This window comes from Homo sapiens, chromosome 13, assembly GCF_000001405.40.
Source record: "Homo sapiens chromosome 13, GRCh38.p14 Primary Assembly".
Classification (NCBI taxonomy): Eukaryota; Metazoa; Chordata; class Mammalia; order Primates; family Hominidae; genus Homo; species Homo sapiens.
In genome coordinates, this window is record NC_000013.11 from 105,741,224 (window position 1) to 105,764,520 (window position 23,297).

The following is a 23,297-nucleotide window of genomic DNA, read 5'->3' on the forward strand; positions in this document are numbered from 1 at the left end:
CTCTTGTGGCCGAGGTAAAGTGATAGATCTTGCTACATAATATTTAAACTCCCACCATTAGAATTTCACTGGATGTTTTAAAAATATCTGATTGATTAATTGCAGGTAGCCTTACATTTTGTGTATTTGTTTCTGTTTTTGAGGCTGTGCGTGTTTGTGTGTAAATTGTCCTTTGTTTTTCAAAATTTCTTCTGGATTTCTTGCAAAGAGGAATACTCATATTGTCTTTTTTGTTGTTGTTGTCGTTTTTCTTCTCCTTCAGATGGATATTAGTGTCATTATGGAAAATAAAATTCACAGGAAGACTTTTCTGGGTTAAAGCAATAGGTGGGAAGTAGTGTTAAGGGGTTATTTTTACGTACAAAAATAATTATATTAATTTCTTAAATTGCATTTTCGTTTCACTGAGGAAAAAAAATGTCTATATTCAAAATCAGGTTATTTCCCTTATATTAAGAAGCTTCCAACCTTATTTTTTTTTCTGTTTTTGATAACTCACTTGAACGTGAAAATGTTTAAGGGGACCAGATTCTTTAATAAAGAAAGCCTCTCTCACACCTCCAGAAAACTACCAATGCCATGGCTGCAATTTTAAACATTTTAAATGATATATACTACACTGCTTTTTACCCAGTATTAAATTACGGTAACTTCTTTTTTTTTTTTGGAGACAGAGTCTTGCTCTGTCTCCCAGGCTGGAGTGCAGTGGTGCAATCTCAGCTCACTACAAGCTCCACCTCCTGGGTTCATGCCATTCTCCTGCCTCAGCCTCCTGAGTAGCTGGGTTTACAGGCGCCCGCCACCACACCAGGCTAATTTTTTGTATTTTTAGTAGAGACGGGGTCTCACCATTCACAGGATGGTCTCGATCTCCTGACCTCATGATCCACCCGCCTCAGCCTCCCAAAGTGCTGGGATTACAGGCATGAACCACCCCACCCGGCCAAATTAGGGTAACTTCTTAAAGAGCAAAGGATAATTGAAATGATTTACTGAAAGAGCAAATAAAAAGATTAGTAATAATTCCCAAGTCCCTAGTTATGTTAAGAAAACAATTATGGAACTACTTAATCTTTAATGTAGACAAATCTTTCTTGAGTGTAGATACACATTTTGGTATTCATTGCCAGCTGAATGAAGAAAAACATTTTAACAATCTTAATTTAAAATAGTCTCTTCTCACCCTTCACTTGCTTCTTGGCATGACCAAATAATGGTTGGTTTGAACACTCACAAAGCAAGAACTACATACAGAGCACTTGTAAATATCATCTTACATAATTCTTACTAATACACAAGGCAAACCTTTTTATCCCCCTTATGCAAATGAAGAAATTGAGTTATAGAAAGTTGGAGTAAATTGACTAAGTCACAAAGATAGAGATGGTGCCTAAACCCAAAATTACTTTTTCTCCTTAGAACATGGGACTTTATGGGATTTTTTAATAGCATGAACACAGAAAATATACCATGTATGTACATGCAGTGAAACAAGATCAAACAATATAGGAGTGTATAAATTACAATGCCATTTTGTCATCTGATTTCCAAACCTACTCTGCAGAACTTATCAGTGTCATGATTAGATGTATAACTTTCTACATTTTTCAATGTCTAGACAGCAGGAGTAACAAATCGTGGCCTGGCCAAGATTTGCCTACACACATATTTTGCTTGGCTAACACTGTATCTGAAAGCATTTAAATGAAATGAAAACATTAAACACACACCCAAGAATATACATTAATACCTGAATCTACTTCTCTTCTCTAGAAAAATCTAAATATCTGACAAAATAGGGCACTGGTACCTGCATGGCAACAATTGGTGGGCACTGGGAGGACGTTTAGATCAGTTCACCCAGCCTTCTCCTTGTGCCAAGAAGAACGCAGGGCAATAGCTGTCTTGGGTCACATCTGCCCTGATGTTACCTGACTAGGCCCTGAGAGCATTTTTAGTTTGTATCCTGTATGTTTTCTCATTAAGTTACTTTCTCTACTTAATGTTCTATGAAGACCTCCTTTCCCTATTTTTCCTGGACTTTTAAAATGCCTACCTAGTAGTCCGTTGTTTGGATACGCCATCATTTATTTAACCCTCCTTCTACTGCTATAGAGTTGGCATGGTTCCCCCTTTTGCCATTGAAATGCTTTAATGACCATCCTTACAGATATATCTTTGCCACTTATGTTTATGTTCCAGCAAGATAAATTTCCATAGGTGGAATTGCAGGGTAAAAAGATATGCACATTGTATACTTTGATGAATTGGCCAGATTGCCCTCTGATGTTTGTCCTGAATATATTATGTGTAAGAGTTCATCAGAGCTCCTACTACCTGGAGCCCTTCAGTAGGACAACTCACATATGAAGAGACAGACACTCAAATTCTGGAAATACTTTGGGGAATGTGTGCATTTTGAAACAATGAAAGAAAGAAACTAATTAAACTAAAGAGCTTCTGCACAGCAAAAGAAACTACCATCAGAGTGAACAGGCAACCTACAAAATGGGAGAAAATTTTCGCAACCTACTCATCTGACAAAGGGCTAATATCCAGAATCTACAATGAACTCAAACAAATTTACAAGAAAAAAATAAACAACCCCATCAAAAAGTGGGCAAAGGATATGAACAGACACTTTTCAAAAGAAGACATTTATGCAGCCAAAAGACACATGAAAACATGCTCATCATCACTGGCCATCAGAGAAATGCAAATCAAAACCACAATGAGATACCATCTCACACCAGTTAGAATGGCAATCATTAAAAAGTCAGGAAACAACAGGTGCTGGAGAGGATGTGGAGAAATAGGAACACTTTTACACTGTTGGTGGGACTGTAAACTAGTTCAACTATTGTGGAAGTCAGTGTGGCGATTCCTCAGGGATCTAGAACTAGAAATACCATTTGACCCAGCCATCCCATTACTGGCTATATGCCCAAAGGACTATAAATCATGCTGCTAGAAAGACACATGCACACATATGTTTATTGTGGCACTATTCACAATAGCAAAGACTTGGAACCAACCCAAATGTCCAACAATGATAGACTGGATTAAGAAAATGTGGCACATATACACCATGGAATACTATGCAGCCATAAAAAATGATGAGTTCATGTCCTTTGTAGGGACATGGATGTAATTGGAAATCATCATTCTCAGTAAACTATCGCAAGGACAAAAAACCAAACACCGCATGTTCTCACTCATAGATGGGAATTGAACAATGAGAACACATGGACACAGGAAGGGGAACATCACACTCTGGGAACTGTTGTGGGTTCGGGGGAAGTGGGGAGGGATAGCATTAGGGCATATACCTAATGCTAAATGACGAGTTAATGGGTGCAGCACACCAGCATGGCACATGTATACATATGTAACTAACCTGCACATTGTGCACATGTACCCTAAAACTTAAAGTATAATAATAATAATAATAAAGTACAGTAAACTTTAAAAAAATGGTTTTAAAAGAGTTATGTCCACATTGAACTTTATTCCAGAGGTCAGTGTAGACAACAGTACTATTGCCCTTAATTTTAGTGTGAGGCAGTTAATGAAGAAGCCACAGGAAATGGTACTCCACTTTTCTTCCATCATCATTGGTAAAAACGATGAAAAAGATGTGGAAAGGGAAGCATTGTTGTAGGAAATTATATCAAATGGGGTTTTTTAATTGTTCCTAGCTTTTGACCTATTGTTCGAGTGTATTTAGGGAAGAAAAAAAATCCCTCCTGAGAAGGAAATATAATAAATACCGTTTAGGAACTACAGAGATATAAATATAATTATGAGAAGAATGTGTTATTTCTGCCAATTACTTCTGGAAATCTAAAAAGGAAATTAAGGCTCTTTACAACCCATCAAAAACTGTTCACTTTACAAAGAATGAATCCTGCTTAAACCTAACCTCAGGTGAGATTTGTGGAAGATTGGTTTGACATCCATCTCCTGCAAGAAAAATAATGAGAGAACCTGAGCATCAGAGTGTTTATGAATGTGCTCATTCAACAGAATGTGATCATCAATCCAACAGAATGTGATCATCAATCTACTTATTTTTCTATATCAACAAAGATTACTTCTATGTTATACATTCCACTTTAATGATTCATTTTTAAAAATGTGTGTATATCTACCTCAGGTAGAATGTAAAGATTGGGCTTTATGTTCATTAAGGTTTAAATAGATTTTACTTCATTTTCAGAAAATAAATTGCTTGTCCAATTGATCAACTCTAAAAAACCAAAATACAATCTGTTCTGTATCATATAAGAACATTTCCACAACAAGCATTATAAGAGAGAGGCATAGAAGTTTTCTATACTGAAATGGAATCAACTATTACATATCTTCCAAATCATCAAATTTCTTAATATGTCCCATTTTCACCTTTTCAGTTCTCATTTTTCTATGAGTAGTTAATGATAGCGAATGTATTTTGTCTGCTTTACTAGAAATTTAACGAAAAATCAATATATCATTTAGGTCTATCCTTGCTCTGTCAAGATCATATATCATAGCCATTTTTCTCACCACATATTTTGCAAAATGAACAAGATTTTTAAAACTATGAAAATAAACACACCAATTAAGAAATGAGAACATGTGTTATGCTTATCAAAGTAGGCTATTGATCACATTTTGCTTCAGAGACCTTGAATTTGATATCATCCCAATAGATTAAAACAATAAACATTAATCCATTCCTCAAATATTTGTTGAAGGTCTAATTTGGGCTATGCCCTCTATAAGGTGTTATAAATGATATTAGGAAGAATCTGGCAGTTTCTTCTTTACAATCTTAGTGATATAGTTATGTAGGTAACAATGGAAAAGCCCCCAAAACTACTGGTTAAAATGGAACAAAACAGAAAGGCCATTGATAAGCATAAAGGTATTCATTTAGTTTAAAAGTCATCTGTTTCATATGTTCAAGCTCACAAAGAACTGGGAACTCACTACAAACCGAAGGTGAGATGACAGTGTAGCCACTGCTAAAATCCCTCATACAAATCTCCTTTTAATTTATCTGTCATCATCCCAAGCTAACACTCAAAGATGTTAACTAGGTTCTCACAATTAGTAAGAAGATAGCCAGAAAGTGGGCAAAGGATATGAACAGACACTTCTCAAAAGAAGACATTTATGCGACCAACAAACATATGAAAAAAAAGCTCATCATCACTGGTCATTAGAGAAATGCAAATCAAAACCACAGTGAGGTACCATCTCATGTCAGTTAGGATGGCGATCATTAAAAAGTCAGGAAACAACAGACGCTGGAGATGATGTAGAGAAATAGGAACACTTTTACACTGTTGGTGGAAGTGTAAATTAGTTCAACCATTGTGGAAGACAGTGTGGTGATTCCTCAAGGATCTAGAACCAGAAATAGCATTTGACCCAGCATTCCCATTACTGGGTTTATGCCCAAAGGATTATAAATCATTCTACTATAAAGACACATGCACACGTATGTTTATTGCATCACTGTTCACAATGGCAAAGACTTGGAACCAACCCTAATGCCCATCAGTGATAGACTGGATAAAGAAAATGTGGCAAATATACACCATGGAATACTATGCAGCCATAAAAAAGGATGAGTTTGGCGGGGCACAGTGGCTCATGCCTATAATCCCGGCACTTTGGGAAGCCGAGGTGGGCAGATCATGAGGTCAGGAGAGCGACACCATCCTGACCAATATGGTGAAACCCCGTCTCTACTAAAACTACAAAAATTAGCTGGGCATGGTGGCACATGCCTGTAGTTTCAGCTACTCAGGAGGCTGAGGCATGAGAATAGCTTGAACCTGAGAGGCAGAGGTTGCAGTGAGCCGAGATGGCACCACTGCACTCCAGCCTGGGCAACAAAGTGAGACTGTCTCAAAAAAAAAAAAAAAAAAAGGATGAGTTTATGTCCTTTGCAGGGACATGGATGAAGCTGGAAACCATCATTCTCAGCAAACTAACATGGGAACAGAAAATCAAATACCACATGCTCTCACTCATAAGTGGGAGTTGAACAATGAGAACACATTGATACAGGGAGGGGAACATCACACACTGGGGCCTGTCCCGGGGTGGGGGGCTAGGGTAGGGATAGCATTAGGAGAAATACCTAATGTAGATGACGGGTTGATGGGTGCAGCAAACCACCATCACACATGTACACCTATGTAACAAACCTGCAAGTTCTGCGCATGTATCTCAGAACTTAAAGTATAATAAAAAAAGAAACTAGCCAGAATCAGACGAGGGACAAAAGGTCCATGCACCCAGCATACGGTTGATGTTCAATAAAGTGTTGAAGAATGAATGAATAAATGAACTTTCTGTAGCATGTTTTTAATAAATATATGATTTTAAAAGTGAGTTTATTCCCTATTTTTATTCTAGGGAGGAATAAAATATATGGGGAATAAGTTAGAATATAGCAGTTTTCTCAGGATGTTGGCTGTCCAACTCTAGACAAGAGGTCAGCAAACTACGGTCTAAAGACTTGCGGGTGGTACTATAATAAAGTTTCATAAGCAGTTACTCACTCATTTACTTTTGTCTACGGTTTCTTGTAAAGCCTAAATTATTACAGTCTGGCTCTTCATCCATACCCCTGCCACCAGCTGTGTTTCAGCAGCATCCACAGTGATTTTTTTTTCAATAGCACTGATGATTTGTTTTAGATAAAAGGATGCAAAATAAAAGCAGTAAAAGTAGAAAACATCAGTAGTTCCTTGTATGTCTGAGTCTCTTCATTCTAGTTGTGTCATTTTCCAAACTTATATTCTTATTTCCCAAGCTTACCTGGGGAAGGGATGTATATACATACTAACCTCCTACTGGAGATTTATTTATTTATTTATTTATTTATTTATTTATTTATTTACTTATTGAGACTGAGTCTCGCTTTGTCGCCCAGGCTGGAGTGCATTGGCACGATCTTGGCTCACTGCAAGCTCCTCCTCCCGGGTTCACGCCATTCTTCTGCCTCAGCCTCCCAAGTAGCTGGGACTACAGGCGCCCGCCAGCAGGCCAGGCTAATTTTTTTGTATTTTTTTAGTAGAGACGGGGTTTCACTGTGTTAGCCAGGATGGTCTCCATCTCCTGACCTCATGATCCGCCCGCCTCTGCCTCCCAAAGTGCTGGGATTACAGACGTGAGCCACCGCGCCCGGCCACTGCTGGAGATTCTTAAGCTTTAGGCAAATTCTTACTCTTATTCTGAGGCAACCTACAAGCTGAGAGTCAGGTTCACTTGTTTAACTCCATTATGTTCCAGTCATCTTCAGAGATGGAACCCTTGTTCTGAGCAGAACACTCAACAGAGTCACGGTTGCCAGAGTCTATGAAACACATAGAAAATATTGTCCTATCCTTCTATTTAAAAGACCTGGGAGAAACTGCTGCAAGTAGTGTTAACACATGCAATTAAAGATAATAATGACGAGATTTCTGGCCAGACTTGAAGGTCAAGTACACTAACAAAGCATGTTACAAACCAGGAACGAACATGGTGATTAGAAGTTTATCCAATGTGCGGTGTTTGTTCAAAGAGCCATAGACCCTCAGTATCAGAATTAAAAGTACTGATTTGGAGATTTCAACCAAAACCCAAAATATTAGAATATTTGTGGTTGTGATGGGGATCTTGATGTTAACAAATGCCCAGGTAGTTTTTATGTGCCTTATTATTAAATTAAAAAAGGATCAGGAAGATCAAAAATGTCCCAAGGGAGAGACTCTCAAGGCCACTTGCCCGTGATATTCCCATGCCCCCAGAGTTTTTCTAAGGTCAGATATCATGGAAATGCTAAGGACAGCTGCCTTGGGATAATGGTAGCAAGGCTGTGCAAGAGGAGTACAGCAACTCTAGGAAAAACACAAAACAAAGATTTGCACCTATCATAACAATCCCTCTACCAAATTACAAGATATCAAAAAAAATCTGCAAAAAAAACCCTGGTTTTATTTCTCACTTGTCCATATAGCTTTCCTTGAATCCTTTGGTCTTCCTAGATTGTCTTGTCCACTAAATTTGATTGCAATTTTAGTTTATCGCCCATTATTTCATGAATATTTGTTTTACATTAAATATTACAATACTCTGTTATTTTAGGTTTGCTAATCCTTGTCTCCCTATTGTATTGGGCAGGGAAAAGTGTCTTGTTTGAAGGTAGATTATGGGACAGAGTGGGTACAATTAATGCTATTTTAATAAATACATGTGACATGATTGATTTACTAGTAATGTCAAATAGATACTAACATGCATCAACTATGTAAGTAGGCTTATTCATGGCTATGTGAAGAACAACAGGCATAATACGAATCATGACTGGGGCTAAGCTATTTCACCTTGTCTGTTTTGATCGCATATAATGGTGTCAGCAACTTAGAAATAATCTGCAGGCAGAATGGCAGCTTCAAGGTCAAATAATATTGAGAAATACAGGGATAAAAAAGGAAACTAAGAAAACAGAGTATAGAGTGTGCTTGTTTCACTAATCAAATAGTCTGTGGCAGGAGTTTTCTTACAGCCCTGAGCTAAGAGTTAATAGTTTGAACAACAACAAAAAGACTGGTGTGAACAAGAGAAAAATTTTCATGAGTGGAAAAGGTGGTAAGAATAGCACATCCTCAAAGGCATAGAAGGAATCAGGTATCATGAGTCTTAAATTAGGAGAAGACAACTTGAAGTGGGTTGTTCAAGGTGCTAATACAATGCATGTGTGCTCCAAAGGAAAGAGGTATGATTAGTGACGAGGGCATGTGCGTTTCAGGTAGCTAGATGGCAGAACTGTAAATAATTGAGTGAATATTTTAGGATGTATAGATTCAGAAAGGAAGCAGAATATCATAAAGCTTGGTTGCAAAATCAGTGGTGCTAGGTCAACCTTTAATGAAAGACTAAGAACAAGAGAGTTCAAAAACAAGACCAATAGGGATCTCAGAATATATGGTTTAGACATTAGATTCTCAGCCAACGAAATGAGGGAAGGCCATATTCCTGAAGTCAAATAAAAGACTAGGCAGATATTTCCTCAGAGGGACACCTGGGACCACCAGAAGGGCCAGTGATTTATGTGGATATGAGGAAAGGTGTTTCTGCAGCCAACCTTGGCAGGCTGGCCCCCAGATGGGTGACATTCCACTTCTATAGGGACCTCTGTTGTTGCCATAAAGCTTTTCCCAGTTTTGAGGGTTAACTTTGGGTTGAATATGTGAGAATAGAAGGTAAAAGTGGAGAATATCTTTTTAAGGCTTACTGCAGTCTATCATGAAATGTAACTTCATCAGAGTTGCAATTTCATCAAACCTATCCTATGGCCATAGTAAGTGCGTAGTAATAACTTCTGCAGGAGAATATAATTATTATTCCAAACCTTCTCATAAGAGCAAAAATTAGTTCTGTCTTTGCATATCTTCTGTGCTAAATTCATCATAGGTAGCCTGAGGAAATGAGAAGTGCCACCTTTGTAAAGAAAAGCTAAAGAAAGATATATGGCATTGATTAGATAGAAATATAGATAGAGATTTAGCATATGATAGATTATATATTGATGACACATGTATATATATTTCGGAGAAAAAGATATATGGGTTATATACAAAATATAGACAGGTTATATATAATCTTTATTATGGTCTGGCTCTGTGTTCTCACCCAAATCCCATCTTGAATAGTAATTTGAATTGTAATATCCATGTGTTGTGGGAGGGACTTCATGGGAGGTGATTACAGCAAGGAAGTGGTCCCACCAAGCTGTTATCATGATAGTGAGTGAGTTCTCACAAGATCTGACGGTTTTATAAGGGTCTTTTTTCTCCTTCACTCTGCACTTCTCCTTCCTGCTGCCAAGTGAAGAAGGATGTGGTTGCTTCCCCTTCTGCCATGATTGTAAGTTCCCTGAGGCCTCCCCAGTCCTGCAAAACTGTGAGTCAATTAAACCTCTTTCCTTTAAAAATTACCCAGTCTCGGGTGTTTCCTCATAGCAGCGTGAGAACAGACTAATACAATAATCTCCATAGACACTTAATCATGGGAAGATTTCTATATTAAACATCAGAGTCACCTGAAGAAGTCTTAAAAATACGTTTCTGATTCCACCTAAATACACTTGATGTGAATATTTGATTGTAGATCTATAATTTTTGCAGTTTCTAGGTATTTTTTTCAAACCCCTTTACTGGTTGCTGGAAACCTCAGGGTTCCTCCAATTCCAACCTAATGGAAGAACCCAGCCAACGTTCGAAGAACTCTAAAGTCAGGAGCTCAGGCCATTAGGAAGCATCAGAATTGCTTAGTCTGTGTTCGAAACTGAAGTCTTTGAATTGACATTACGGTTCAAAATCCAGTCTTAATTTGTCTACTGCTTCTTCTACAAAACCCTCAGCACGTATTTCCCTGCTGTTACTGTTGGGTTGCAGCAACAGAAAGTGATCTACAGCAGAACTACCTGGCTAGAGTGTCCTACAATTTGGAAAATAATTAAGTGTCTTTGCAGTTGATTATTCAGATTCCTGGGATGGAGGAGGCCTGTGTTCAGTGAACACACACACAAAAGGAAAATTCTAACTCTAAGGAAAACAGGAATTTGAAGCAAATGTATCATACCAGCTAAAGTTCTAAACTTTCAAAAGAGTGAATAGATCTGGCATGCAATTTTGTTAGTTTAGTTTTTGTTCTTCTGCTTGTTTTGCTTCCAATAAGTTGCTTCTCCTGCCCCCTTTTCTGGGCTCTTTCAAGGTCACAGCTTCTGAAAGCTGCACACTCCTGACTTTCCCCAAGGCCTCGTAGATGAGTGAAGCCTCTCGGAGGGATTCCCAAAGAAGCTTTGGTTACTGGTCAAAAAGAAATAGCCTTGCTCCTCTCATGCTCCGTTAACTGAAATGTTCAGAGCAATCAGATGTATCACGAATGAGTCTAATTTAAAGGGAATTGAACAGACCAAATGTTTTATTTGCCCAAAATGCTATCCTTCAGAAACTTTGTTTTTTAGTTTGATGTTACTGCCCTAAGACCCTGCTACTGTCTAGTTTAATTCTAAGTTACTCTACTCCTTAAATCTGACAGCAAATACTCTATTTCTTTAAAGTTAAATTTAATTGAATTTAGTTTTCATTAGATTATTTTCTTTGACTTTTACATCAAATTGTAGGGTAATAGTTTTCAAGCTTTATTTAAAAAAGAGAAAACAAATGAAATATTTTGTTAAACTACAGGGCAGTTGATCCTTGAACAGCATGAGTTTGAATGGTGTGGGTCTACTTACATGTAAATTTTTTTCAGTAGGTGTATTGGAAAAGTTTTGGAGATTTGCAATAATTTGAAAAAACCTCACAGATGAACTGCCACCCCTGAGATAACAAAACCAACCCCTTCTCTTCTTCCTCCTCTTCAGCCTACCCAACATGAAGACCACAAGGATGAATACCTTTATGATGATCTACTTCCATGTAATAAATATTAAATATATTTTCTCTTCCTCATGATTTTCTTAATGCAATTTTCTTTTCTCCATTGTAAGAGTGCAGTATTTAATACATGCAATATAAAAAATATGTGTTAATTGGCTGTTTACATTATCATTAAGGTTTCCAGTAAACAGTAGACTAGTAGATAAGTTTTGGTGGAGTCAAAATCTATATTCAGATTTCCAATCATGCATAAGTGAGCACTCCTAGCCCCTGCACTGTTCAAGGGTCAACTGTGTATATGTCAGTTTAAAGGTGAACCTTATCCTTACACCTCCCCCTTACTTACTTCTGTATCCCTAAATACACTTGCAAAGTCATGAAATATCTGAATAATGCCACTGTGATTTTAATGGTTTTGCATAGCAGACTGTTTATGTGTTTAACATGGTGTTTGAAATAGCACTGATACCGCCTGGTGCAGAAGATTCAGAGAATAAAACCAAAATTTACTAAGATTTTTCTTTTTTACCACCCTGCTTGAAGGAAGTAGTTTTTAATCAAAAAATAATTATTTTAATTTGTTAGCATTTATTTGTAGCCTGCACATCTATAGCTAAAGCTGAGCAATTGGTCAGAAAATCACTTTATGTTGTGTTATGATTTTTATTATAAACTCCTACTCATCATTCTTTCCTTTCCAGAAAAATCTGTTGAACTTTGAGAAAATTTGTCCTCTAAGTGAGAACATTATGTCTGCTAAATGGAGATAGTCAGTATTTGAATTAAAAAGTAAACAAATTACCTTGGGCAGTATGGCCATTTTCACAATATTGATTCTTCCCACCAGTGAGCATGGAATGTTCCTCCATTTGTTTGTATCCTCTTTTATTTCATTGAGCAGTGGTTTGTAGTTCTCCTTGAAGAGGTCCTTCATATCCATCAAGCTATCAATGACTTTCTTCACAGAAATGGAAAAAACTACTTTAAAGTTCATATGGAACCAAAAGACAGCCCGCAATGCCAAGTCAATCCTAAGCCAAAAGAACAAAGCTGGAGGCATCATGCTACCTGACTTCAAACTATACTACAAGGCTACAGTAACCAAAACAGCATGGTACTGGTACCAAAACAGAGATACAGACCAATGGAACAGAACAGAGCCCTCAGAAATAATGCCACATATCTACAACCATCTGATCTTTGACAAACCTGACAAAAACAAGAAATGGGGAAAGGATTCCCTATTTAATAAATGATGCTGGGAAAACTGGTTAGCCATATGTAGAAAGCTGAAACTGGATCCCTTCCTTACACCTTATACAAAAATTAATTCAAGATAGATTAAAGACTTAAATGTTAGACCTAAAACCATAAAAACACTAGAAGAAAACCTAGGCAATACCATTCAGGACATAGGCATGGGCAAAGACTTCATGTCTAAAACACGAAAAGCAATGGCAACAAAAGCCAAAATTGACAAATGGGATCTAATTAAACTAAAGAGCTTCTGCACAGCAAAAGAAACTACCATCAGAGTGAACAGGCAACCTACAGAATGGGAGAAACTTTTTGCAATCTACTCATCTGACAAAGGGCTAATATCCAGAATCTCCAATGAACTCAGAAAAACTTACAAGAAATAAACAAACAACCCCATCAACAAGTGGGCGAAGGATATGAACAGACACTTCTCAAAAGAAGACATTCATGCAGCCAAAAGACACATGAAAAAATGCTCATCATCACTGGCCATCAGAGAAATGCAAATCAAAACCACAATGAGATACTGTCTTACACCAGTTAGAATGGCAATCATTAAAAAGTCAGGAAACAACAGGTGCTAGACAGGATGTGGAGAAATAGGAACACTTTTACACTGTTGGTGGTACTGTAAACTAGTTCAACCATTGTGGAAGTCAGTGTGGCGATTCCTCAGGGATCTAGAACTAGAAATACCATTTGACCCAGCCATCCCATTACTGGGTATATACCCAAAGGATTATAAGTCATGCTGCTATAAAGACACATGCACACATATGTTTATTGTGGCACTATTCACAATAGCAAAGACTTGGAACCAACCCAAATGTCCAACAATGATAGACTGGATTAAGAAAATGTGGCACATATACACCGTGAAATACTATGCAGCCATAAAAAAGGATGAGTTCATGTCCTTTGTAGGGACATGGATGAAGTTGGAAACCATCATTCTCCTCAGCAAACTATCGCAAGGACAAAAAACCAAACACCGCGTGTTCTCACTCATAGATGGGAATTGAACAATGAGACCACATGGACACAGGAAGGGGAACATCACACACCGGGGCCTGTTGTGGGGTAGGGGGAGGGGGGAGGGATAGCATTAGGAGATATACCTAATGTTAAATGACGAGTTAATGGGTGCAGCACATCAACGTGGCACATGTATACATATGTAAAAAACCTGCATGTTGTGCACATGTACCCTAAAACTTAAAGTATAATAAAAAAAGTAAACAAAGTGAAATAGTGAGATAATTATTTTTACACAAAATATTATCAGTAGTAATCATACCAAAGATTTTGCTTCAATATCTGCAGACAGCAAATGGACAACTGAAAAAAGATGATGAGAATAGATTTCTCATTCCAGATTTCTGAGTTACACTAGTAATAAAGATGTAAAATTATTTCATATTCTCCCAGATATTAATGCAATTAACCAAACAGCAGCTATCATTCTCTATGGGTGCTTGCTCATGTATTGAATGAGAAAGGTACAATAATTGACTTGATCCAGATGTCCATGTAAAGTAATTGAGAATCTGAAATGGTAAAATTTCTAAAGAAATATGAAAAGGATACTAAATTTTTACAAAATGCTTTAAATTCATGGAAAATAAGTTCAAGTAAGGAATAGCATTTTAAAAATTGTGTGACTTAAAAATGTATATAAAATAATTTTAAGTGGCATGGAGATAAAACTAATGCTGAAACTGTACTTTCTTGTATAAGACACTTTTAAAACTTATGATTATGACAGTATTTCCTTATAGCTCATGATTCTCATCTAAAATGATAATAAATAGGTTATTCTATAGCTCTATTTTTCCAGAAGTCTAGCTATCATTAATTTTCAGTCTATGAGATATGTCACAAAAAATCCTATGTGGTTTCCTATTAAGACTCTGACATTGTGTCTAGTTGTTCCCAAGAAATCTAAATATATAGGCTTGATATACTGGTCAAACAAGGCTAGCCCTTTGTCAATCAGGTTTATTTGGAAACTGATATTTTGCTTGGAAGAAAAGAAATAACGTTGACTAACAGACACAGAAAACAGTTTATTGCAGGCATGCAGGTAACTCGAAAAATCAACAGGAAGCCTATAAAACCAGACTTAACAACTCAGGTCTAGACAAGTGGCTCACTATAACAAAAATTAAGGTCACACTCAGGAACAACCAGGGTGGTGTGCAGTTGCCACAAGCCCTAGATGACCACCACTGTCTCTGGACCACTGATGCTACTAGCTCCAGGGGAAGGAATTCTACAGAATCCATGCTGGCCATCACTCATGCAAAGACCCAAGTGAGAACTTGCTTAGGTCTGGTAGCCTTACTGAAGCTATAAAGGTCGTAGAAAGCAAGCATTTATGTTTTCATTATTTCTTTTTATTTTTTGTACTAAGGTAGATTTAGAGACAGAACTGAGCTGAAATACGGGGCATCCAAAAGAAGGAAAAGCACTAATAACTAAAGTTGTATTGTTTTGTTAAATGCAGATTTATGAAACACAACTTACATTATTACCACCAAGGTTTAATATGTCCATTATAGAATAATTAGAAAATATAGATAAGCAAAGAGAAACACAATAGCACTCCAAACTCATCCACCCAGAACTAATAAAATGTCAACATTTTGTTGTGTAACTCAAGATTTTTACAACACTTTAAAATAAAAATGTGGTTATATGTGTGTGTATCTATGCAGACATATGTTTACATACACATGTACAAACACAAACACACAGTTGAGTAAGTTGAGAAGACAAAGCAATATATCTTAAGTACTTTTCATATCTTTACAATTTTTCTATATGATTTCTATTTACATGCATGAATTTCATTATATTGCCATATCATAATTCACTTAACCTATCTCCCTATTGTTGCCATGGAGAGATTTTTGCTCATATATTTTCCTGTTAAAAATAAGCCGGCAATTAACATTCTTATAGAAAATGTATAATTATGTTCTTAGGATAAATTTTTAGACTTGAATTATTACAGGATCAAAGTAGAATATGTAATTGCCTTTTATAGGAGAACAAAAGTTTCAGAATATTGAACTGTGACAGAGCTAGCATCCTGTAGTTAACAGCTGCTGATTTATAATTGGATCCATCCAAGTCATGCTTTTATGAACTATAAGTATATGTTTACAGGACTAGAGTCTGAAGTATCTTCTTCTATCTACACTGTTTAATAAAGATAAGGCTCAAGAAGAACATGAACCAAAGATGACCAGTCAGGAGATTTTCAGAATGGAGTCCAGTCATCAGCAAACAAATCAAAGACTAGAAAATTTTCATCAACTTCACCCCGACCCCCATCCACTCCTATTAATGTCAAAATTTTATTTATTCTTCAAAGACAACTAAAATGTTGCCATTCACAAACAGCTTGTTCTTTATCTGGAAGTGATCTCTCCTTGGATCTTGCTTTCTCAATGTTTTTTCTATCACCACCACCCCATCCCCAGCAAACTTTGCTTTGAAAATGTGGTCACTCCAGGCATGTGTTCTCATCTTCAAGAGTTCCTCAACCAAGACACTACTTCTTCACCTAGTATTATTTTGTATTTCAACTGACCTAGGGGGGAAAATATTTTCAGTACAAGTATAATATGTGCTAAATTTTAAGAGTATACAATTTTAAAAAGTACAAATTAGAACATGAGAGCCCTCTATAACCCACACCTTACATCAAATCAGATTCCTAAATGCCATTGTTCACCAGGATTTCTTCCCTGGGTTCACGTCTTCTCTCAATATATACAAGTCTCCCCAGTTAACATCATTCATTACCAATAGAGTCAATTCCCAATAGGCAAATCATTCAATCCTCTTTCTTAATTTCAGGACACTTACTTTCAAATGTTTATTCTATTCCTTTATCTGAAAAATTATTTCCATTTCTCTGCCTTGGTTCTGAAGCTAGCCCTGTCCTGATCCCAATTAGAACAGCTAGAACTTTTCAGTCTTGCCTTCCTCCTAATGCAGATCCCATTGAAACTATAAAGTACCTTTGTGTTGGTTCCCAATATGCCCTGAGATTCACTCTGACTGCACATATCTACTCCTAATCCCTGGAGAGTGTCTTGATGAAATGCACAAATTAACTTGTCCTTTATTGCCTGTTCACCCACTTGGAGAACAGATGGTGTCAGCTTCCTCAAACCACACAGCTGACCGTGGAGAAAGAGATCGTTTGTCAAAAGACAGTTGAGGTCCTGTTACCGGGGGGAAAAATGCCAGAAACAAAAGGTGTGTCCCCCCACTCTGTCTTCTCCATACCTGCTGCCATTGTCCAGGCATCCTTCATCCCCTATGGGAACACTTCAAACCATTTCCTTGTTGATCTACTATCCTGTGAAGAATGTCTTCTCCCTCTAATATTCTCCAGTCAGATGAGATGACTGATTTGATAGAAACAGGTATAATCTTGTCACTCTTTTTTTTTTTTTTTTGAGATGGAGTCTCGCTCTGTCACCCAGACTGGAGTGCAGTGGTGTGATCTCGGCTCACTGCAAACTCCACCTCCCGGGTTCAAGAGATTCTCCTGCCTCAGCCTCCCAAGTAGTTAGGACTACAGGCACATGCCACCATGCCCAGCTAATTTTTGTATTTTTAGTAGACACAGGGTTTTGCCATGTTGGCCAGGCTGGTCTCGAACTCCTGACCTAGGTGATCCACCCACCTCAGCCTCTCAAAGTGCTGGGATTACAGGTATGAGCTACCGTGCCCAGGCGTCACTCTTGTTTAAAACGTATTAATGCATATGTACTTACAAACATTTGAATTTCTAAGCATAGCTCAGTGTTCCTTTATGGCTTTATCTCTAATCATAACCCAAAGTAGACTGCCCAGTGTTCCCAGAAATGGGACTCATTTTTTATGCTTCCGTGGCTTAGCATTAGCTGGAACATTTGTACTGTACAGTTTTTCCTGGCCCCTGTCTCCACTAGCCCCTCACTTCCCCTAGTAGATGGAGTTGCTCTTGAATCTATATTGCCATGACATATTGGAAAAATCCCTGTCAAGGTACTAATCATGTATTTGCAGGAATTTATATTTACATTTCAGTCTCTCTTAGTTAACTGCGAGTTGCCAAGGTTGTCTTCTCAGCTTTACAAACCAGGATGTCTAAGAAAGTGCTTCGCATAAAACATAAACTCAGCAAACATTTGCTAAATTGAATTTTTGGACACTTAGCAACAGAAATATGTCAGAGCCGTTCATATTATTCTTGTTAATCCAATCAGCTTCAATCATCCAACATAGCTATGCCAAGAAGGTACAAGCTACTCCAGTGTTTCTGACATATTTTTATATGCATAGCAGTTATTTATTGGTCAAAATTACTGGGAAGATGATTTCTACTATGAGCATGCCCTATAATTTTTATAGACTATATTCTTCTTATCCAAGTACAATTCACAATGCCAAACTCAGAGATTACCGATGTTTATAGAAACATGACAATAGTGAGACTCTCTTCTCTCAAAGACTGAGTATGATGTACAGCCATCCATGATGGAAGGCCAAGTAGAAAACATCTCCGAGACTGTGATGTGATGATTTCTTTGTGCACAGATGATACAATTCCAAGTTGCAATGCACTCCATTAATTAAACAAGTCTGCATGCTCATAATTTAATTTGCTGAAAGAATTCACAAGAGGGATGGGAAACTGGGTTCCCCTGCTTCCCATAAATGTAATTGACATAATGAGCAGCTTTCTTCTCTTCTGAGTCACAATGCCTTACAGTAATACCTGCCTCACATGATATCAAGTTCTCTTTGAGTCGTACAGAGAAATAATTTCCTAAGTGCAATTCAACTCAATGTAGATAGATATCATATGGCATCAGAGACTTCAGAAGTAAAGCAAATGAAAATGACTTCAATGAACTTGGTGCTTGGAATAGTAAAAACCTTAGTTCAATAATAATTCCCATGGAAACACTACATATTTCTCTCTCACTCTAGGTATTTTCAATTAAAGCTTGCAAAATTTGAAATGGAAAAGAAAAAAATCTTAGACTGAAATGTGAAATATACTAAATTTCATTTTGATTAGCAATGTATAAAGTACTTTGATATGTATTAACATACTGTATGTTTTATGCATCATTTGGTGAAAGAGATTTTCTTATCATTCTCATAATCATCCCCTTTTATAAGTGTTAAAACAGAAGAGTTGAAGAGTATAGTCATTTGACCAGGCTCATATTGTTTATAAACAGTAGAAATTTGAACTTGAATCTCTGCCTTCTTATTTCTAATGCTATGCTTTTTCCATGATGGAATTCTAAGATTGTCCAGCACTTATAATTGAGTCATGATCACACTGAATGCTCAGCAATTATATGCCCAGTGAATAGATACCAGAGAATAAAATGCATAACTTTTATCATGGCACTTTTTAAAAAATTTTAATTTATCCCTATTGCTGACCATTACAAGATTAAATGTCTTTATTATAAATTTCAACCTCCTCTAATATTACAGTCACAAATCTTTGGATTTTTTTCTTAGCTAATTTTAAAATGATATTTTTAGACCTCTAAGATAAAATAATCAAAGGAGAATAAAATCTTTTATTTTCTGAATATACTTTATACATCTCATTCTATCAAGATTTTACATTATTTTTTGTTTGCTTCTCTCATTCTCCTTCCTATTAGTTGTTTTTTCCCAGTTAATTATGTGTAGCTTTTTCAGGTTTCAAATGCAATCTCTTTCTTTCCTTTCTGAGCTGCATTGTTCACAGTCATAAAGAAAAATAACCAGGGAGCTAATAAATGTCATTTTTTACATGTTATATAAAGTATTTGTGAAACAGTAAGCAATGTTCAAATATCTTCAGAATTGGCCATTTAAGGCTTTAATATCTGGCACTGAGAAAAGTAGTACTTTGAAAGCTTTCATTTTATACTGAAGCTATAGAAATTTCAGCACCTACTGATAAGTTGTGAACATTTACAAGTGAATGAAACAAATTAAATGACAAACTCCTACTAGTGTTTAAAACGTAATATTTTAGTAGCTGCTTTATTTATTGAATAAAAATAGAATCCCAAGCAACTACTCAACTTAGCTTTTATTATTCCTGTACCCAATTTGTTTACAAATTGTATTATACAGAGAAAGACATATTTTATATTTTTCATTAATTCAACATATTTCTCAAATCTCTTAGTCCTTATGTTAGTGTTTACGAAGATAACAGATAGTATATGTTTATATCTGTATATCTGGACATATATCTATTATAATATAACCTTTCTTCCTAGAAGGTTATTTGGAAATGTTAACCTTGGTGTTTTTCATTTACAGTTCTGTTTTTCCTCTTCTAATCCTTCACCCATCTGAGCTAAAGTCTAGACCTAAGGAGGCTACTAATTCAGGGATCGAGTAATCTGCCAAGCAAGAGTTTATTCAAGCACAGTTTGAAATAAAGGTTTCAAATGCATAGCCTGTCGATACTTTGGAAGGATTCTCATCATAACGAGTATGCAATTTGCTATAAAGAAGAATGCCCATTACGGACTAAATGTTTATGTCCTCCTAAAATTCATATGTTGAAGGCCTAACTCTCAATGTGATGATTATGTGGAGATGGTGCCTTTGGGAGGTAACTGGGCTTAGATGTGGGCGTGAGGGTGGGGCCTCATGGTGAAATTTGTGCCCTTGTAAGAAAAACACACCACAGGTTTTCATTCTTCCTCTGCCACATGAGGCCACAGTAAGAATGTGACCATCTGCTAGCCAGGAGGAAAGTCCTCACTGGAACCCGCCCATAATAACACTCCAGTCTGGGGCTTTTCAGCCTCCAGAACCATGAGAAATAAATTTCTAGTGTTTAAGTCACCCAGGCTATGGTATTTTGTTATAGTTGACGAAAACAATGCCCAATGAATTAAATTTTCTCCTTCTGGGCTGAGGAGAGCTGGAAAAGGGAACAGCATGGTCCCGTGAGAGAGATCTTTCTGTCTTTGACTCCAGTTCTCTTCCTGCTCCCCATCTCCTTTTTCCATCACCAGAAATCACATCATGCAAAACCTAAATAACTTTATGAATGTGAAAGTAGAAAATAGCCATGTCCTACTTCCCATTTGGAAATGGAAAAATGGAAGGAAAAAATAAAAACAGCAGCTTGCAGCACTCTCTGAAAACCATGGCATAATTAATGCCAAGGGCACTGTGTGTGGTGTCAAGACAGTGGGGGGCTGAGATTGCCTCACAAAATTCACTGGTGCTCCAAAGAGCACCTGCAAAGCAGCCAACATTTCCCATGTCCACAGGAAGGACATGCACTTAGATGAGTGAAGGGCAGCAGACTTAGAGAGGCCATGGGGTTGGGATGAAGAAATCTGTTTGCAGATGACAGTGTGGGCCGTAGGCCAGATTTCATATGCAAAGTCATCGCAGTGGATGCTCACAAGACCAGACAGGGCAGTGTCAACTGTGAGGACGCCAGTGTGAGCCGATAACAAGGTCAGACATTCACCACCTAATATTGTTGCCATTAGTAAGTCTCCAGGATTGTGCATCAGTCCTAGAGAAGAAGGGGGATTAGATTGAGATAACCTTGAATTAAGTACCTAAAAGTTTTGGCAATGAGGAAAATAATGATAAGCTTGAAATAGGAAAACCTGCATATCTATCAGTTGTGGTGACTCACACCTGTAATTTTAGCACTTTGAGAGGCCAAAGTGGGAGGACTGCTTGAGCCCAGGAGTTTGAGCAACACAGTAAGACCTCGTCTCTACAAAAAATTTTTAAAAATTTGCCAGGGAGGACGGATACTCAGATACTCAGGAGATTGAGACTGCAGTCTCAAAAAGAAAAAAAATAAAATAAAAGTTGCATATCCACATTTTTCCCTGGAAATATTACACTTGTTCTAGACATATCCATTCTAAACAATAGTATATGTACATAATACACTTCCTTAAGGATAAACATCAAAGTTAGTGATAGTTCAATAATAAAGCATAAGACAAAGAATTAGGTTAAATAAAGGCTTGCCCTGTAAAATAAAATTTTGGGCAAAACTTCAACAAAGTTTTTACGCTATATTAATATTCTGGGGGTTTTATGCTATTAGAATCACGAGAAGCCACCGTAGATTGTTAAATATTGGGGATACATTATCATAGTGATGATACAGGTTAATTTAGCAAAAAAATGTGAACAATGGACAAGAGTGAGAATTAGAGACTGGAATGTTAGCTGAGAGGTTATAGCACCTGCCAGGCACAGGATAATAAGGAAAGTAATAAGGCAGTAAAAGTAAAATATGGAAGTGATCACACAGATTGAATTCATAATATCTGGACTTGATCAGTTACAGGGAGAGAAAGTTATGGAAAACAACTCAGATTTCAAAAGTTAGGAGTTCATGTGTATCCCTTGAAAGTACTTGTGAACTATCTTCTGTGATGTAAAAGAGGTGCTGGTGGCCAGGCGCAGTGGCTCAAGCCTATAATCCCAGGACTTTGGGAGGCCGAGGTGGGTGGATCACAAGGTCAGGAGTTCAAGACCAGCCTGGTCAATATGGTGAAAACCCGTCTGTACTCAAAATACAAAAAAATTAGCTGAGCATGGTGATGCATGCCTGTAATCTCAGCTACTTGGGAGGCTGAGACAGGAGAATTGCTTGAACCCAGGAGGCGGAGGTTGCAGTGAGCTGAGATCACACCACTGCCCTCCAGCCTGGGCGACAGAGCGAGACTCTGTCTCAAAAAAAGAAAAAAAAAAGGAGTTCATTGGTGAATACTATCATGATAGTGAACATTTTTCTATTTTAGGATATGGGAGGACACCTGAGACGGCAGGCCAGAAGTCACTCAGTAGGAGAAACATCCGTTAGAAGTAATAATGTGGGATTGCTGAAGTAAAGACTATAGGAAGAAAAAAGTGTCTGTGTGTAGGAAACGGAAAGGGAGAGAAAAATACACTGAGATGGTAAAGTAAGGAAGTGGAAGATCAGCAGAATGTGCAGATGCCAAGCCATCCAAGAAAATCATCTCTTGTGATTGTTGCGAAGTCAACTAGCTAATGTGACTCACTGCTAGGCTGTTGGATCTGAGACTTATGTGGGATAATTTAGAAACTTGCTAGTGTCTTAAGATCAATTACTCACCAATGAGAGTGGCATTGAACTGTGAATGTTCCTCCTAGATTTTCCATGAAGACTAATGGTTTTGTCTTGTCTTGAATTTGTTTTAATTACAATTTGTATACATCCTGTTCCACCCTGAAATTTTTATTTTCCAAATGGTTTTTCATTTAAAGAGACTAAATAAAGGTTCTGACTGAGTTGTACTTGTGGGAACTCCAAAATCTTTTTATAGGAAGCTATTTTCATCAAATAGTGTTGAGAATCAAGTTTCCAGTTGGAGAAAATAACAGAGACATGCAAATTCAGGATGTAGCTGTACAGCAATGTTAGTGAAGAGAGAAAATTTTGAGTCATTTAGACATTAACCATTAAGCATCTGGATTTTTTTAAATGTTAAGACAGAAAAAAATACCTGTATGTCAACCAAAATTTTATTTAATTTAGTGAACTGTGATAGGGACTCCTCT

General features: G+C 37.1%; 1 long non-coding RNA gene across 1 annotated transcript in view; it reads left to right on the forward strand.

Moving 5' to 3' along the window:
* LINC00343 (long intergenic non-protein coding RNA 343) overlaps positions 1-20,573 on the forward strand; it is a 54,967-nt gene extending 34,394 nt beyond the window's left edge. Inside the window, exon 4 of the long non-coding RNA NR_046391.2 lies at positions 20,040-20,573. This is a non-coding gene — a long non-coding RNA (long intergenic non-protein coding RNA 343). The remainder of the gene's footprint in view (positions 1-20,039) is intronic.
* Positions 20,574-23,297: the final 2,724 nt, after the last annotated feature.